This window comes from Homo sapiens, chromosome 7, assembly GCF_000001405.40.
Source record: "Homo sapiens chromosome 7, GRCh38.p14 Primary Assembly".
Lineage (NCBI taxonomy): Eukaryota > Metazoa > Chordata > Mammalia > Primates > Hominidae > Homo > Homo sapiens.
Genome location: NC_000007.14, coordinates 52,306,553 through 52,326,697, shown reverse-complemented (window position 1 = coordinate 52,326,697; position 20,145 = coordinate 52,306,553). Strand labels below are relative to the sequence as shown.

General features: G+C 38.0%; 2 long non-coding RNA genes and 1 pseudogene across 3 annotated transcripts in view; 1 reads left to right on the top strand and 2 right to left on the bottom strand.

Annotated features, from left to right (window-relative positions):
* The window catches only part of LOC107986796 (uncharacterized), a 43,869-nt gene extending 32,352 nt beyond the window's left edge, over positions 1 to 11,517 (bottom strand). The window contains exons 1-2 of the long non-coding RNA XR_001745210.2: positions 11,258 to 11,517; positions 2,702 to 2,789 (exon numbers count right to left, since the gene is read on the bottom strand). This is a non-coding gene — a long non-coding RNA (uncharacterized LOC107986796). The remainder of the gene's footprint in view (positions 1 to 2,701; positions 2,790 to 11,257) is intronic.
* The window catches only part of LOC124901810 (uncharacterized), a 152,886-nt gene that overhangs the window by 100,012 nt on the left and 32,729 nt on the right, over positions 1 to 20,145 (bottom strand). The window lies entirely within an intron of this gene.
* On the top strand, positions 2,809 to 2,900 carry LOC124901845 (uncharacterized; annotated as a pseudogene).

Here is a 20,145-nt window from a genome sequence, read left to right as displayed (position 1 = left end):
TTGTTTTAAAAGTTAGGCAATTTATACAATATGATTCAGCTACTAAATGGCAGAATTAAAACTAGAGTTGATTTTTTTTGTATATACTTCCATTTGAATTTAATTTTTATGTTCAGAATGCATTGTGGAAGATCCGAAATAACATGCTTTAAATAAAGCTATTGTCAATGAGAGGTAAGTTGAGAGTTTTCAATGGAGAAAAAGGAACCAGTTTCTTTTAATGCCTGTCATTTTGTACATAGAAATTAATTAACTCTCCTAGTCAATTTTCCTTTCAACATGGCCACAACAGACTTTTTTTAGTGCAGAGATACATAGACACATTCTCCAGAATCCCCCAGATGGAAGAGAAGAACTGAAGAGATCAAACTGCATTAAAAATGAATCCATCTCTGTATTGAACTTCTGACAAAATGTTTCCATGTCTCGTCAATTAGACCTCTTGACTGGTGCACTTTTAATGCTTAACATAAGCTCCCTGAAATTCATTGCTCATTAAGCATGTCTAATCACCCCAAAGTCTTGAACAGACAATTCACATGAACAGATTGCCTGTAAGTTTTTGATGTTAAGCACCACTAAACATATGCTTAATGTCTCAACATTTCAAACTAATTCATAATAAGCAACTTTCCATGGTAAAGTTTATATTTTTGACAGGTAAGTTAAATCTTCCTTCTTTGCAGTTCTGCTAATATTTTTGACCTTGAATACTAATAGCAAAATTGACTTAAATCACTATATTATTATTTTTAACAAAAAATGTTTTGTATTGAAAATAAGCTTTTTTTCAGCTTTTTAAAATAAATTCATTTGAGTGTCTTTATTACCTAGTTGAAAGAAAAAAAATAATGCTTTGATTTTCTCAAGAAAAGAAGTACCTCTCATTTTTAATGGATATTTCAGCAGTTTTAGCTCACTTTTAATTTATTTATGTCCAGAAAGCCAAGACATGATTTTTATTTGATGCCATAATTTTCACTTAAAAGGAATACAACTATTGCAAACCAAATTCATGCCAAAATCATAATGAAATTGAGATCATAGTTTTGCTTTCTAATTTTGTTTTGTTTTTATATATGAGAGACTATGTCAGCTTAAAAAACATAATTCAAATATTTGAAATTTCAGATGAAGTAAATTCATTGAAAGATTTCCAGGAGAGAAAAACTGTCATTAGTTTCTGTCTTAGTAATAAAAGCATGCTTATCATGCAAGAAGAAGAAAGTATCAAAATGACTTGAGCCTGAAAGCCCCTGTCAGTGAACAGCCACAAAGGCTTGACTAGAAACTCAATGCAAAATAAAGTAACTCACTGGGTAACTGGTGGTGTTTTCCTTCCCTAAAACGTACAGGATAAGAATATCAGCAACCCCCTTAACAAATCATCACTCTCTCATTCTACCTCTTACATTTTGTCCTCTGAGAAAACAAGTCTTTCATTGGATGACAATTGTACTCTAATTTTAAACACATTCGTGAAGGTCTATGTGGAAGGGCCATAGGATTTTGAGTTCAGGAGCTCTGACTCGGAAGCCACACCACCTGCCTCCTGTGCCTCAGTTTCCACCTTCATGAAAGCAAGATAATAGCGCCTCACTAACGGAAGTGTTGTGAATAGTGAGTTAATATACATAAAACTTAGGATAGTGTCTAACACTACCCCCCAGTCTCTTAAAAAGACTAAATTCTTTCTGAATATTAGCAATTCTATTATTTCATTATTATTCTTATTTTTCTATTTTGTGCAAGATTTCTAAAAGATTGATTTATTCAGTATGAATTTTGTAATCTGGAAAATAAAAACACCTAAGTTTATTTTTCATGAGAATTTTGGGGTGTATTGGGGCATAAAATCTTGGTTAAAGATTATATCTTTTTAGAAAAAAATAGTTACACTTTCTATCCTAAATATGATTTATTCAACATATAATTAGTCACATTGCTGTCTTCCTATCCCAAAGTGTTTAATCTCAGGTCTGGAGTTACTTACTACATGGTCATAATGTTAAGTTATTTCAATGAATATCAATTCTTATTCTGCAAAACAATATTATGGTTCTAATTGTTTTATACAATGTCATGAGTTTCTTTTAAATGTGGGGTGGTGTTCTAAAAATATGTCCAAAACACTGTGGAAATAAGTTATTCAAAATCTAAGCTGTAGCCGGGCGCAGTGGCTTATGCCTATAATTCCAGCACTGTGGGAGGCTGAGGCAATTGGATCACCAGAGGTCAGGAGTTCGAGACCAGCCTGGCCAACATGGCAAAATCCCATCTCTACTAAAAATACAAAAACTCTCTGGGCGTGGTGTCATGCCCCTGTAGTCCCAGCTACTCAGGAGGCTGAGGCAGGAGAGAGAGCTCCTTGAACATGGGAGGCAGAGGTTGCAGTGAGTTGAGACTGCACCACTGCACTCTAACCTGGGGATCAGAGTGAGACTCCATCTCAAAAAAAAGAAAAAAAATCTAAGCTATTAGAACTCATTATTTTCAGCCTTAAAGGAATATAAGTATGGGTTCTGTGTGAGGTGGCAGGCAGCTATACCTTAGGCAGCTGTAACCTTTTTTCTCTGATTATAAGTTAGTCTTCTTCCTTATCTGCATTGTTATCTAACTGTTGTAAAGGACTCAAGGATGCCAGGGAAGACCCCTTTTCATGTCACTGCTGATCGTCATTATAGATGAACTTCTCTCTTACCTTTCTTACATAGACTTCATGGCTACCATATTGTCTTAAGATGGAATATTGATACACCTTTTTAAGTTGAAAAGAAAATAGAAATCACCTGCAAAGAAAAGAAAATGACCCTTTTGTAGTTCATAAGCAGGATGACTGAGTTTTCATGCACTTGTGTGAGATGCGCCTCCCTCAATGTTGGCACATTACCTATCTGATGTGAAAAAAAAAAAGAAGAGGAAAGGAAAATAAAAGAAAGAAAAGGAAAAGGAAAAGGAAAGTAAAAGAGAAATGGAAAGGAAAAAGGAAGAGAAGGGAAGGGAAGCGAAGGAGGAAGGGAAGGGGGAAGGGAAGGGAAAGGGAAAGGGAAAGGGAAAGGGGAAGGGAAGGGAAAGGGGAAGGGAAGGGAAGGGAGAAGGGAAGGGAAGGGGGGAGGAAAGGGAAGGGGGAAAGGAAGGGAGAAGGAAAGGGAGAAGGGAAGTGGGAAGGGAAGGGGAAAAGGAAGGAAAGGGGGAAGGGAAGGGAAGTGGGAAGGGAAGGGGAAAAAGAAGGGAAGCAGGAAGGGAACAGAATGGGGAAGGGAAGGGGGAAGGGAAGGGAGAAGGGAAAGGGGAAGGGAAGGGGAAGGAAAGGGAAGGGAGAAGGGAAAGGGGAAGGGAAGGGGAAAGGAAAAGGGAAGGGGAAAAGAAAGGGAAGGGGAAAGGGAAGGGAAAGGGAAGGGGAAGCAAAGGGAAAATGGAAAGGAAAGGAAAAGGAAAAGGGAAGGAAAAATGAAAGAAGAAGGCCTGGCATGCTGGCTCATGCCTGTAATCCCAGAACTTTGGGAGGCCGAAGTAGGTGGATCACTTGAGGTCAGGAGTTTGAGACCAGCCTGGCCAAAATGGTGAAACCCCATCTCTACTAAAAATAAAAATACAAAAATTACCTGGGCGTGATGACTGGTGCCTGTAATCCCAGCTGCTCAGGAGGCTGAGGCAGGAGAATCATTTGAACCCAGGAGGCAGAGGTTACAGTGAGCCAAGATAATGCCACTACATTGCAGCCTGGGCAATAGAGCAAGATTCCATCTCAAAAAAAAAAAGAAAAGGGAAAAGGAAAAGGAAAGGGAAGCAAAGGAGAGGAGAGGAGAGGAGAGAAAGCCATGGGGAAAAGGAAACAAACTGTAGCTCATTAATTTGCTGTTAACTCTCAAACCATCCTTGCATAGAAAATATTGAAATCCTGTAACATTTGTTTTTTCTGCCTACAAGCAAGAATGTAACTTTTAACTTCAGAGCACGGAACCCCTTTCTCTGTAGTCCATGTGTCCCAAATGGACATTCTCAGCTTTTTGCTTGAATAAACTCTTTAAAAGTAGATTCTGATTTTTAAAAAAACATTTCTGGTTTACAGTGCTATGCTTAATATATTATGTTAAAAAATAAAACTGTATACTAGACAGAAAAGGGAAGAAAGATTAGAAAATTAGGAAGTCTCTTTTAGTATTTCCTAATTACTCACAGAGGTTGGCATTAGGGTGGTAGTAACTGTATAATACCTGCCTTTTAATGGACACTAAAGTCTTTTTCAGTGTGTGTATGACAGGAACACTTAACATGAAGCCTATCCTCTTAACATATTTTTAAGTGTACAGTACGTTATTGTTTACTATAGGTGCAATGTTGTATAGTAGATTTCTAGAGCTTACTCATCTTTCTTAGGGTTCAGAAAAAAATATTCCAAAATATGGCACCTGGGCATACTGAGTATTCTAAGCTGAGGAAATTGAGAAAACCATAGAACCAGAAGGTAATTCTCTGACTTTCTCTCAGCTTTCTCCTTTAAGGCCATGAAAAGAATTCTCTGACCTAGCTTATCTGGAAGTAGATCTTAAGACACTCATTCCCCAGCGATCTCACTGTATACTCAAAAGTCAAGAAGAATCTGGACAAAGAGGCCTTGCTAAGTTCCCTCCAGCTTATTAGTACTAGGTCACATGCCCTTTTTGCAAGAGGGTTGCAAAAATAGTTTATCAATCAGATGTACCCAAACATATTATTTCCAACTCTGTGTGCTGTTACTAACTCAGGTGAAAATCTTGCTAGATTTGCATGTAAATGCTGATTAGTAAGCATTACTCGTGTATTGATTGATCATTTCTGCGTGTGCAAAATATTATTTCTAAAAGAAAAACTGACTGTTGCACCTTTCCTTTTCTAAGATTTTGGGGATACTGGTGGTAGCATAGTTCTATACATCTTGAAACTCTCAGCAGAACAGGGTTTTCTTCCACTTACAGAGACTTCAAAATGAGGAAACAGTATGAAAGTTTTATATTTCAAAGCTACTGACATTCCTTCTTTGCTGCTCAAAAGTGAGGCCCAGAACCCATAGCCTTTGTTTTAGCAGAAACTTTAGAGTCTTTTGATATATAAAGGCAGACACAATACAAGTACAAAGAGAAGAGCTAAATTTCTCTGTATAATAAAGTAAAGAGAATTGACAGCCAACTGAAATAAAGCAAGAGCGAGATTAAGAGGAATGGAGGAGAGTCAGAAATGACCACGAAACATAGAAAGCACAAAGGAACTGGGTAATAGAACCAATTTGATTTAAATTGCAAAGAACAGGGTGACCTTAGGTAATACCTAGGTTATATTAATACAATTGAACGATCTTATCATGATATGTACAGGCTAAGCAAAACTTCCTCTCCATAGACTAAAAAACTGGGAATTGAGACAATTTGTCTTGATGTGGTGAAAGTCATAGGCTCTTGGTCCCCTAAAGTTTCACTACAAATCACTGACATGAAACAGATTGATTACCAGAAGAAAAGGCATACAAATTTATTTAATGTGTATACACAGGAGCCTTCAGAATTAAGACCCAACTTCCCAGTGAGTTACATAATCTTACAAACCATTTTGAGGTCACAAAAAAAGGGGCTTAGATTCTGGTAAAACAGGTCATGGGAGAAGGGAGAAGAGGCTTGGCTAGCAAAGGTGGCCTTGTAATGTAGATGAAGCCTTCCTTAGAGGGAATAGAGGATAAATGTTTCATTTTGGACTTTTAAAGGTGTCAGACTGAATCTCTCCTAGATCCAGGAAAATTATAAAAAGGGAGAGAACTGGCTGCATTAATGCAGATTCCCTACAGATGCAAATTTTCCCCTCAAAAGACAGCTTTGCAGGGCCATTTCTGCCTGCTGCCCAAGTGGCAGCTATGTCAAAATATGTCAAAGAAATGTATTTTGAGGTGAAATATTTTAATTTCTCTCAGTGTTTAGTAGGAATAGGTTCACTAGAAAGTGGCTGGGAGTTAATGCATTTCTTTTCCATTACTTATTCATATATGTGTAATGGCCCAGTGGGTACGTCTTGCCTGTTTCACAGATAAAACTGGTTCACTGAAATAGCGGTATTGCAGTAGAGAAAGGGTTTAATTAGCACAGGGCTAGCCAAGCAGTAGATGGAAGGATATTACTCAAATCAGCCTCAGAGTGCTCAGAGGCTAGAGTTTTTCAAGGATTTTTTGGTAGGCAAGAGGCTAGGGAGTGGAAAATGCTGATTGGTTGAGTTGGGGATGAAACCTCAGGAGCTCAAAGCTGGCCTCTTGCACTGAGTCATTTCCTGGGTAAGAGGTCACAAGACCAGTTGAGCCTATTTCTCGACATGAGTGACCAGTCCAGGTGGCAAAAGCTGGTCTGTCAGAGTGCAAGGTCTGAAAAATACCTCAAGCACCAGTCCTAGGTTTTACAATAGTGATGTTTTCATATTACGGCCTGTGGACATGAGGAAGCAAGCTGTGAGACATCCCAGCCCCACCCCAGGGAAAATTGCTCATGTCTATCCTAATCATTTTCTGCTGTCAGTTTGTAGGTGTGTGTCCTTGGGGAAGAGGTGGACATTGTTCCCAATATTTCTGTTTCTGTAATTGGCTGAGAGCCTGAGGTGTGCATAAAGTTCCTCCCTAGTTGGTGTCCTTTCGACTAACTTTGATTGGGTCAGTTACCAACACCTTATGAAGGCACTGTGTGTTGTCTGTGAGCTCCCAGTCCCGAGTCCTACCACCTCGCTGAGTTTCCATCTACTGAAAATCAGTGTGTTGCTTCTGTGATTGGTGGAAGCAGATGATAGATGGGGGTCTGAAACCAAGATACACCAACAATGTTTTCCTCAAACTGTTAACAACATTATTACAGGTTTTCTTAGTCTAAACCTAAACCCATAACTCCTTTGGGCTGAATCCCTGTCTCTTACATGAATTTATACCATAATTTGAATTTAGGTTACTATCTTTTCAAATAACTTTGATACACCAAGAATTTTCTCTTTTTTTTCTCTCTTTTTTTTTTTTTTTTTTTTTGAGACAGGGTCTCATTCTGCTGGCCAGGCTGGAGTGAAGTGACACAGTCATGGCTCATTGCAACCTCCACCTCCTAGGCTCAAGTGATCCTCCCATTTTAGCCTCCTGAGTAGCTGGGACTACAGGAGTGCACCACCATGCACAGCTAACTTTTCTATTTTTTTGTAGAGACATATGTTGCCCAGGTTGGTCTCAAACTCCTGAACTCAGGTGATCTGTCCACCTCAGCCTCCCAAAGTGCTGAGTTTATAGACATGAGCCATAGTGCCTGGCCAAGAAAATTTTAAATATCACAGTGCTACTCAGGAAAACTTTTGATAAAAATAAAATTGTTCAGAGGAGAGGTCTTTTAGGACAGAATGGGAATAAAATTACATTCATTAATCTGCATTATTTTTATTGAAATGAGGAAACTCCCAAATGAAATTCAGATACCAAAATCACTTTCTTATAAAATTATTTAAGTAAAATAAAGATGTAAAATATTTTAAATTTTTTTTTGGATTAGGCCAAATGACAAGTTGAAATTAGTGGTCTTTAGCCTACTATCCATCCTCCTCAGTCTTATCTGTATCACTTTTCCTCTGTCTCTACCTTTTTTCCAATCCATTTCCTCCTTTCAACACAGCTGGGAATCCCTAAAGTTTAATTGGTCCTTATATTTAAATCCCTTTATAACAGGCCAAGTCCCTCAGGGAGTTTTTCAGCCCTGGTCTCACCCTGGGCTGACATATATAATCACATATAATCTCTGGCTACCAGAGATGATTTTAGATATCACTAGGCAAGAAAGAGAGAGAGAGAGAAATAAGGAAGGAAGGAAGGAAGGAAGGAAGGAAGGAAGGAAGGAAGGAAGGAAGGAAGGAGGGAGAAAGAAAAAGAAAGAGAGAAAAAGAGAAAAGGATGGAAAATCTGAGTGAGAAAATGCTGAGAAATTGCAAAGAAGGTCAGAGAGATTTGGAAAAACTGTAGGTAGTGGCCAATATTTTGGAGGCTACTTTCAAAGTCTTCTTGTACAAATTGACTGGGCACTAATCCAAATGCTTTAGAGGCTTTAAGGATAGGGCCTTTCACAACTTTATAGCAACATCTAATAATAGATCCTGAAGCAAATGTGACCCCGGCTCTTTCTTACTTTTATTGAAAGACCTTAAGTCAGAAATTGGGTATTTAATATGTAAACATATACAGAAATATAAAACAGCCCTGTTGCCAATCTCTTCACAGAACTCTTTCATAGGATTTTACAACAAAGGCCATAAAACAATCAAATAACAACAAAAAACTTCTCAATATACTAATGGCCTTACAAAGACAGCAACTAGATGCTCCAACCCAAGCCATTCAGTACCTGAGGAGAGAAATGCTTGATTCTGTGAATACTGTAACTAAATAAAAAAGAACATTAGCAAAACAATTGTCCTATACTGCTAAAAAACAAAAAGAGAAAAAAAAATGAAGCAGGTAATGATTAATGAAGGTTTATTATCCTCTGAGCAGGAAACAAAGTTCAATTTCATATTTTACCCTTAATTCTTATTACTAAGAGTGCTACACCAGTCTTGCACCATGTTACATTCAGAGCCCTTGACTGTCACCACTGAACTGTCTCTGGGAACCTTTGCTCCTGTGGTCCCATGGCTGCTCTCTTCATAGCTCGGGGTTTACTATGTAGATGGAGTCTCCAAAAGAAATGCTCCACCAATGGCATTTTTGCCATTTAAATGACAATTTAAGATCTCCATGAAATTTGAGATGTTCTGTAGGGGAAAAAATTTATGATTTCAACTTCAGTGCTACCGAAGGCTGAATATTTTATTGTTATAGATCTTTTGACTGCTTTCTTCAGTTGCTCTAGATCAAGAGAATCAGGACTTGACTTTTTCTACAAAATTCAACACTTTACCTGAACAGTGATGCCTCAGAGGCTCACTGAGGCAAAGATTACTAACCAGGACTACCAGGACCTTAAATTCAAATTTATCTGTGACTCTACCTTTAAGTTATACATGGGTGAAATATCATATTCCAAAAATAAAGTGACCACTGAGATTGACTCTTCCTATTTACTCATGTTTTAATACTGTTTCAAAGGAAAATTTACATTTTTTGGGGAAAAATATATTAGATGGGCCATGATTAATTCCAAAGAATTAAATACCTCCATCCTGAGAGATTATAAGCCACTCAAAATTTTTCTTGAATGCTGATCAAGAGACAATTTAGAGATTTTCTAGATTTTGCTGCCTACTGTAGCCAGCAGGTACCCAATTTATTTATAATCACCACATATGAATGGCATTGCAAATTTCTGGGAATTTAACCTCCCCCTAGAGCCTAAATATGGAGAGTATTTGGTGACTTAAAATCAAGTCTTCATGCCGGGTGTGGTGGCTCACACCTGCAATCCCAGCACTTTGGGAGGCTGAGGCAGGCAGATCACAAGATCAGGAGTTCAAGACCAGCCTGAACAGCATGGTGAAACCCCATCCCTACTAAAAATACAAAATTTATCTGGGCATGGTGGCACATGCCTGCAATCCCAGCTACTCAGGAAGCTGAGGCAGGAGAATTGCTTGAACCCGGGAGGCGGAAGTTGCAGTGAGACAAGATTGCGCCACTGCACTCCAGCCTGAGTGACAGAGCGAGACTCCATCTCAAAAATTAAATAAATAAATAAATAAATAAATAAATAAATAAATAAATAAAATCTTCAGTGTCTCCCCACTCTGGACATTTCTAATTATCATAAATCTTTACACTTGTTTGTACATGAGCGATCCGGGCCAAATTTTGGTGTTCTGACTTTTTTCAAAGGAATATTGATAGACTAGATTCTTACTTCAGCCTTTCTTTAGGTCTAGAGGGAATCCTGCTCACCAGGTCTATGCAGCCAGACCCAAGTAAGTGAAGACCTCTACTGACTTAAAGTGTCTTTGACGCTGGTACCTTAGGCTGTGCGATCCTTGTTCACGTTTTTCTGTATTCAGGCTTAGCTCTTAAGGAATTGAATTACTTTATTCTGAGTACATTTCTATCAATTGTGACAACACTTCAAATTGTGATACTCTTCTTCTTTTACCCTAAGAAAGGAAATCTATGACTCTTTTCTCTAACTGAGAATTGACTATCTCAAAAAACTATTAAAAATTCCAGATTTAATCATGCTTGTTGACAGGTCATATCTTAAGACTAAAATGGAAAATTCTTGGGCAGATAAACCTTAACAGATTTCAATTCATTTCTAAATTATAGCCCCAACCTGAGTAAAAGTTGCCCATATGGCAAAACCTATTTCACTCACAACAGAGGACAGCCAAATGAGAAGAGATAAAAGAGTTATAGTAAACACAGATAACAAGTATGACTTTGAAGCAGTCCAAGGTTTTGAAATGCTATGGAAACAAGAGTTTTCAGCCTCAGCAAGAAACAAATTAAAAATGGTCAACATATTAATGAACTGTGGAATGTTCTAATGCTTTTTAAGATGGTAACTATCATAAAAGCCTAGACAAAAAAGGATAGCATTTAGGTAAAAGAAAATGCCCTAGTTTATCTTCTACAAGTAGGAAACTCCTGACCCAACTCCCCAGGATCCCATGATATATTAAGAAGTCAGATATTTGAAGTTCAAGAAGTTATTAGAAAGTACCAGTTATTGACTCTGGAATCTGAAGAGTTATTGGAACTTTTGGTTGAAAGCTATTTGACAATAATTTCTGAAACTTTCCTGAAAGCTACTAGCTTGTGTCAGAGAATCCCAAATCAAACTTGCCAAAGATTCCCCATGAAATATGCCAATCAAGTAATGACAAATTGTCTACTATTGTTGATATTAATGGAAACATTTTACAAAGATTGCTGAAAATGTCTCTGCCTCAAAGCTCATCTATCATTAGCACTTGATAAAACTAAGAAAGTGGGAAGTAAATAAGAGCCTCAGTTGCCTCTACGAACACTTCCACATTTCTTCTTTCTATGGATCTTCATTCTTTTTTTTTTTTTAATTATACTTTAAGTTCTAGGATACATGTGCAGAATGTGCAGGTTTGTTACATAGGTATACACATGCCATGGTGGTTTGCTGCACCCATCAACCCATCATTTATATTAGGTATTTCTCCTAATGCTATCCCTCTCCTAGCCCCCCACCCACCGACAGGCCCCGGTGTGTGATGTTCCCCTCCTTGTGTACATGTGTTCTCATTGTTTAACTTGTTTAACTCTCACAGGTGAGAACATGTGGTGTTTGGTTTTCCGTTCCTGTGTTAGTTTGCTGAGAATGATGGTTTCCAGCTTCATCCATGTCCAAAGGACATGAACTCATTCTTTTTTATGGCTGCATAGTATTCCATGGTGTATATGTGCCACGTTTTCTTTAACAGTTTATCTTGTTGACTTATTCTCAAGGTGGATAGAAGCTTTTCCTTGCTGAAGAGGTACAGCTGTGACACCAGGGAAAAAACAAACATAACAAAAAATTATATTTTATTTCTAACATGGGGATTCCAACCTCTATCTAGTGATATAGCCACTCTTTTGGCTGACACTAGTATTACAGAACTTTTCAAAGCCTTGCCACTTACTCAGAAACTGTTTTCTGCTATGACCCCATCACCCTCAATCCTCAGGGGGAGTACAGACAGCCAAGTCATTTTAAAACTCAAGTGATCAGAATGAGAAGATGATCTAGAACTCTCTGGCTTTGTCAACTAAGAGTGTAATTTCTCGCTCTCAGGACCCTGGAAACAACACTCCAGCCTGCATGAATTTGTTTCAGGTTATCCTGTAAGGTTAGATATTTCTCTCCTGATCTTCAACTCCACCTCATTTCAGTCAGATATGGCAAAGCACTGCAACCAACTGATAGAACATATCAGTATTATTACCAATAAGCACAAGATGTCTTTCCTTTACATCCTCTCAAGAAGTCTTCTGCCCTGAAATCATGTGGAAAAAGACCTTGTTTATTTTTATCCTTAGTACAGTAATTAAATGTGAAGGTGTACCTTCCTGGATTCATGTCTCTAAGGTAAAAAGATATGATGTTATAACCTTCAACACTGGGAGTACCATTTTGTTGTTGTTGTTGTTGTTAGGGAAGGATATATAACTAAAAAGTCTAAGAATACTTCAGAAGCATACAATCTTCAAACAAAGACAGCTTCCAACATATCTTCAGGTCAAGAGGTTCCATGACACAAACAGCTTCCCCCTAAAATCTATAGAACAAGATCTAGACAACTAACTAGAGCCAAAGATTGTCATCTGTGTTTTTCTTGTTTGTTTCTGTTTTTTGTTTTTCATGCTTTTGTTCTTGATTTTCTTAGCTATTTTCTTTAATCTTTACTGAATTAAGGTTTTGGATTGCAAATAAACTTTATGTTTCAACTGTAATCCTTACAAGATCTTTATCCTTCATATTGTTTTTTCCCTTCTTAGTTATTACTTAGTATGAGTTCAAAATTTAACTGCAATTTCCTTGCAGTTTGGTTAAAATAACTAATTAAGATGTGCTTGGCATGATGGCTCATTCCTGTAATCTCAGCACTTTGGGAGGCTGAGGTGGGCAGATCACTTGAGTCCAGGAGATTGAGACCAGCCTGGGTGATATGGGGAAACTCTGTCTCTATGAAAAATACAAAAAAAAAAAAAATCCCCAAACATTAGCCAGGCATGGCGGCATGCACCTGTGGTCCCAGCTACTCAGGAGGCTGAGGTGGGAGGATTACTTGAGCCCGGGAGGTGGAAGTTGCAGTGAGCTGAGATCATGCCATTGTAGACCAAAAAGAAAGAAAGAGAGAGAGAGAGAGAGAGAGAGAGAGAGAGAGAGAGAAAGGAAGGAAGGAAGGAAGGAAGGAAGGAAGGAAGGAAGGAAAGAAAGAAAGAAAGAAAGAAAGAAAGAAAGAAAGAAAGAAAGAAAGAAAGAAAGAAAGAAAGAAAAAGAAAGAAAGAAAGAAAGAAGAAAAGAAAAGAAAAGAAGGAGAAGGAAGGAAGGAAGGAAGGAAATTAGTAATTAAGATGAGTCATGTGGACACATTTTCCTCTAATGCCCAAAAAATTTTTATATTATCAGTGCTTTATAATTAAATATTTGACTTTATCAGTGTATTAGTTGGTTTGAGTTGCCATAACAAAACACCATGGACTATGCAGCTTAAAGAGTTGTATTTCTCATAGTTCTGGGTGTTGGAAAGTCTAAGATCAAGGTTGTGGTCAGCAGTTTCTGATGAGGGCTCTCTTCTTGGCTTGTGAATAGCCACCTTCTCACTGTGTACTCACTTGGCTTTTCCACAGCAGGTGTGAGGAGAGAAAGAAAGAAGATGCTCTCTGGTGTCTCCTCTTATAAGAACATTAGTCTTCTCAGATAAGGGCCCCACACTTATGACCTCATTTAACATTAATTGCCTCATAAAGGCCCTGTCTCCAAATACAGGCATATTTGAGTTAGAGCTTCAACATGTAAACTGATGGAGTAAAGGGAAACAATTCAAATAATCACTGAATAAGCTCATGAATAAAGTAACCATGATGACAGATATGGAAGGTATTTATCAACTCAGAAATTCAGACTTTAACTCACCTAGGCCAACCTGCATATGGTCAATGCTGAGTGCCCAATCTGCCAGCAGCAGAGACCAACACTGAGTCCCATATATAGCACCATGCCCCAGGGTGAGCAGCCCACTATTTGGTGGCAGGTTGACTACACTGGACTATTTCCATCATGAAAGGGACAGTGTTTTCTTCTTATTGAAATAGACACTCTGCATACAGATTTTCCTTCCCTGCATGCAATGCTTTTGCCATGGGCTTATGGAATGCTTTATCCATTGTCATGGTATCCCTATATCATTGCTTATTGATCAAGGAACTCATTTCACAGCAAAAGATGTATGGCAACAGGCACATGCTTACATATTTCAATGATCTTACTATGTTCCCCACCATTCTGAAGCAGCTGGTTTGCTAGAAGGGTGGAACAGTCTTTTGGCTAGTTTGCCCTACTTAGGTGGCAATAACTTGCATGGCTGGAGCAAGCTCCAGAAGGTCGTATATGATCTCAATCAGCTTCCAATATCTGGTGTTGTTTCTCCAGGATTCTCAGGTCCAGTAATGAAGGGGTAGAAATGGGAGTGGTACCACTCACAATTTTCCTGAGTGTCCCACTAGCAAAATTTTGCTTCCTGTTTCTATCTGAGGACAGACCTTATGCTCTGCTATTGGTTTCAAGATCTTAGTTTCAAAGGGAGGAATGTTTCCATCAGGAAAGGCAACAGTGATTCCATTGAGCTGGAAGTTAACACCTTCCCCAGCCACTTTGGGTTCCTTGTGCCTCTGAGCCAAGTAGCAAAGAAGAGAGCTATAGTGCTGGATGGGGTAAATGATGCTGACAAAGGAAAATTCCACAATGGACTCCTATTCCACAATAGAAGTAAGGAACAGAATGTCTGGAATGCAGGACATCCCTAAGAGTATCTCTTAGTATGAGCATGCCTTGTGATTAAGGTCAATAAAATACTACAGCAACCCAATCTAGGCATTTGCACTATTGGCCCACATCCTTCAGATGTGGCTTGTGTCACATCCCCAGATAAAAGAACCATGACTAAATCAAGTGCTTGCTGAAGGCAAAGGTCATATAGAATGGGTCATGGAATGAAAGGTTGCTATAAATACCATGTGACCAGTTCCAGCAATTAGGGCAATAATTATCAGTAGTATTTCCTCTTTACTTTGTTATAAACATGTAGGTGTGTGTATATAATGTTTTTGTTTTCTTTCCAATCATATTTCTTTATCATATGACATAGGATGTATTGAATTCATATCATAGTATTTAAGTACTGTTAACTTTATGCAGTAGTATGTAAGTTATACGATAGCAAGATAAAGAGTAAACATCATGCAAGTGTTTTGCCTTTTCTTCTGGGAGAAGGGTTAGTGAGTTTGGGGATGTGTGCAGAAAGGTTTTGTGCTGTGAAGTAGAATTACAACCTTGTGTTTTCTTCAGTTGGATATTAAGTATGGTTTTAAAAATGCATATGCATGTCACGTTGATGGGTAGCGAACTTGTGATGGTTAATTTTTTGTGTCAAATTGACTAGGCCACAGGTTGACTAAATATTTCATCAAACATTATTCTGGATATTTCTGTGAAGATATTTTGATGAATTTAATATTTAAATCAATAGGCCGAGTAAAGCAGATGGCCCTCCCTAATGGAGGTGAGCCTCATCCGATGAACTGAAGGCCGAAAGGAACGAAAAATTTGACTCTGCCTTGAAAAAAAAGAGGCAGTTCTTTCTACCTGACTGCCTTTGGGCAGGGAAGTGGTTTTATCTCTGAACTCTTAGCTGAAACATCCACTCTTCCTCGCTCTGGTTCACAAGCCTGCCAGCCTTTGGACTGGAACTACACCTTCAGGTCTCCTGGGCCTCCAGCTTGCCGACTGCCAATCCGGGGACTTGATAGCTTACATAATGCTGTAGGCCAATACCTTCTCCTCTGTGTGTGTCCATGTGTTTGTGTGTGTGTGTGTCCACATGTATCCCACTTATTCTGTTTCTCTGGAGAACCCTGAATAACGCAATCAGTAATTGGGCTTAATTTAATTACTAATTCACTTTTTATATGGCAGATAATACCATAGGCCAGATACCCAGAGATCTAAAGCTACCTGTAACATCATATCTAAGGAAAAGTGGTTTCTGGATCCTCCAAAGCAATGCTTAGAAACCATTTCTAGAAATGAGACTCTGCAAAGAGACTTTGAAAGAGCAAGGGTCAGAAGGGGACAGAAAATAAATACCATATATTTAATACTTGACTATGTGTATAGAACTTACAAGGAATGCTCACTATGTAGGTGAATCTTCTGCTTCACTATAAAATCTAAACTTTCATCTATGTTCATCTATTTCATTTTTCTACTTTATGTTCTCTCATCTGACACTTGGGTAACTTTGAGTAACACCATAATTATTAACATTAGAATTTTAAAACTTCATGGTGGATATGGAGGTATTTTTGCCAAGAGAGGTCATTGAAGAGCCCCAATGACTTTACTGAATTTGTGGTGCAAAAGTTACATCTGAATTTGTGGTGCAAAAGTACAAATAAGATCTTTGTACTTCTAACTTGATATGTATCTTTGGGATGGTTTCTGATATCACTCAGGGTACATTTTAGCTTACACTTTCCTCCTTATGGGAAAATAAAGTCACTGGAAAAATTGATGCAAGAAAGGAAAAAAACTGGACCTAATTTTGATCCACACACTTAACCTTTCAAGGAGATTTTCAGATGATGCTCCACTTTTTAAAAAATCACTTGACACTGTAAGAGTCATAGAAAATCAAGACAATCCTAGCTAGCAGAGAAGTTAGACCACAATGTGAGTAGGGCCATAGAAATACCATCTGAGAAGTTAATGAGATTTTATAGGTATTTGTTCAAAATAGAGGATTGCTAGACACCTATCAAGAATCACTCTTCATTTTTAATGGGAAAATGTGTATTTACAATGTTAGTAATTTTTTCAAGATATTTAATATTCCTAGAAAGTTCAAAAAATAAATTCAAAAATTATAAAATTAGTATATTACTCCTATATTTGTTTCTTTGAGCTTTTTGAATTGGGGATGGAATCTTCTTTTGTTTTTTTTTGCCCATTTGTTTAATTTGGAAACTCCAGGCCTATAAATAGGAAGTGGAAGAAAGCTCTGATTATTGCTTCCTTTTTGTATTTGTTGATGTTACTATATCTATGTGTGATATCCAGATTCTTAAATACTGTTGTACAACCATAGATTGGTGAAGTAAGTGAAAAAATGATTACTCAACAAAAACAACAGGAAAATCTAGTGTTTATATCAGCTGAAATTGCCACCACTAGAAACCAGACATACCATAATGGTTTTCCAAACAAAAGTGCTGTCTGTTAGGGCTGCCATAACAAAATACTATGGATTTGGTGTCTCAAACAACAGAAAATTATTTTCTTACTATTATGGAGCCTGACTTAAGCAAGGTGCCATGATGGTTGGTTACAGGGGAGGCCTCTCTTCTGGTTTGTCGATGGCTGACCTCTTATCCTCAGGGCCTCCTCTCTGTGCATGTGTGGAAAGGGAGACAGAGATCCCAGGTGGTTCTCCCTTTTCTATTGGACCTATTGGATTAGAGTCCCATCCTTATGACTTCCCTTAGCCTTTATTACCTCCTGAAAGGTCCTGTCTCCCATTATAGGCATACTGGGAGTTGAAGCTTCAACATAGGAATGTGGAGGGCACAATTCTATTCATAACAAGTATGGATATGAATTGATCAGGTCTCCAGGGACAACAATTCATAAATCAACATAAGCTGAAAAATGACTGAAAGGGAGCATTAAGAACTGAGACCATCTGTGTCAACAGGGCTGAGTTCTAGGAATAATAAGACTTATGTCAACATTTTTTTCCAGAAAGCATGTGTTTATGAAAGAAAAGGATAAACAAATAAGTAACTTTATTATTTGCTTCAGAAATTTTCTGTAGATAAATTTATTGGACAAAACAATTTACCCACCTGAGTAAACCACTCACAAATCAAACAACAGTCTATTTCATAAACTCGTTTCAAGTCTCCCTCAATTCATTACCAAAACACCAGGGGTTTGGTCTCTGTCCTACTGCTCGCCCCACAGAAAACCAGTAACTGAGACAAGTACTGCCAAGGAAGTGGCTTTAATTTGGTGCTACAGCCAAGGAGATGGGCGCTCAGCCTCAAATCCATCTCCCTGATTGACTAAAACTAGGGGTTTGTATAGTAGGGAAGAAATGTAACAAAGTATGAGAAAATAGGAACTAGGGAAGGGCAAGGAAGTAGTCATGATAAATGAGGGCCCCCCACCCCCCACCGCATCTGGTGCAGTGATCTGGTGATTTTTAGTTCTTTGATACTTTTTTGTGAGTCCTGAAGGTTGTTTCCTGATGAAGGAACTCAGATAAAACAAATATAAGTTTCAAGCCTTAAGAAGTGTCCGTTTCTATGTTTATTAAAAAAAACTATCTATAGGACTATCAAATTCAGTGTGCCCAACAATCCTAAACTACTATATCATGAAATTGTTCGAGTTCTAGTTATTAATTCTCTGGACCAAAATACGTGTCTTAAACCACTTTAGCCCAGATGCCCAAAGCCTTACAAATTCTCTATGGTTGACTTTCCACTCCTAAGACCCAGGTTAACTCTCTGTTTAGGTGGTGTCACCCCTTATTGTTTTACTAATGGATTGCCTGGAACTATTTGGGTTGGGGGGAATTCTAATCCTTTAAGAGTATTTTGACATTTTTCCATTATATAGTTTAGTATCTAGTTCAATTAAAATTTCCAAATCATGAGCTTTTCTTCACAGCATATGACAAGAGCATATTGTCATGACAACAACATATCTATCACTATCCATTAGTAGCTTTCAACTCTCTTTTTATGGCCCACAATCCAGAGGATTATGGATACTGTCTGAGATTACTGCACACCAGACAATAAAAAGTTTTTCACTTCGACTTCTCCTCATCCCTCAGTTCAAAATACTTGTAATTCAATCTTGAAATGCTGAACTTGGGAAGTGCATATTGCCATACTATACTTATTTACAGCCAATTGAAAAATCCATAACTTACTTTGAAGTTCAAAGTAATTTATAATGACCTAAATTACAGTTTATTTATAGTTTAAAAAGTAATTAACTTACCAATAGGAGCTGGGCCTCCAACTTCATGCAAAATTAATGAGGAGAAAGTGGGTGGTGGGAGGCTGGATTAGTCAAAATTCCAATTTTACCCTCACCTGCCCTCATGGGGCCTTATCTAATAACACCTCCACTCAGAGGCAAAGAGGTGGTGAGAGTTGGAGTCCCACATTTACCATGAAGGTATCAGTGCAAACAAGCAGGGGAGCTAAACCTCCATCCCACTCATCCACTGAAAGCTGCCATTAATTAAAGCCCCATTTTTGCCTGGGTGGCATCACTGGAGCCCAGTAAAAGATGAGCATAAAGCACCACCCTCAAAGTCTTGGGCAACACCTCAGTAGAGGACTATTTGTCAAAAAATTTTAAGAAAAATGTTTAAAAGATTCAACAGACTATAAAGTTTTATAACATATACAAAAAGTTCAGGATAAAATTGAATAAAATTTATCATTGTATCAAGAATCAGGAAACCACAACTTTAGTGAGAAAAGATAGCCAACGGATGTCAAGAATAAGATGACATATTGGAACCATGTCAAAAGTATTTCAAAGAAGCCATCATGCCAATGGTTAAGTAATCAATTACAAATCTTCTTGAAACAAATAAAAAAAGATGAAATGTCAGCAAAGAAATAGAAGTTATAAAAATTAAATAAATAAAATGGAACTTATATACTAGCCAAAATTTAATTTAAATAATGAAAAAACCTCACAGATGGGGCTAATTGTAGAGTGGAAATGACAAAAAAAGAGAGTCATTAAACTTGAGGACAGATCAATACAATTTACTCAAATTGAACAACACAAAGAAAATAGAGGGGAAAGCCAGGTGCGTTGGCACACGCCTGTAATCCCAGCACTTTGGGAGGCCGAGATGGGCAGATCATGAGGTCAAGAGATGGAGACCATCCTGGCTAACATGGTGAAACCCCGTCTCTACTAAAAATACAAAAAAAATTAGCTGGGCGTGGTGGTGGGCACCTGTAGTCCCAGCTACTCGGGTGGCTGAGGCCAGAGAATGGTGTGAACTCAGGAGGCGGAGCTTGTAGTGAGCCCAGATTGTGCCACTGCACTCCAGCCTGGGCGACAGAGCAAGACTCTGTCTCAAAAAAAAAAAAAAAAAAAAAAGAATACAGAGGGGGAAAATAGTCTCAGGAACCTGTAAAGAATTAATATTCATATCATAAGAATTCAACGAGGAGAAAGAAAATGAGACTATTTTAAAAGTATATAAAGAAATTTTGCAAACATCCCCAATTTGGCAGATGACAAAAATCTGTAGGTTCAAGAGGTTGACTATACCCTGAATAGGATTAACCTAAATAAGTCCATACTAAAAAATCACAATTGATATGCATAAAGTAGACAAATGAAACTCATG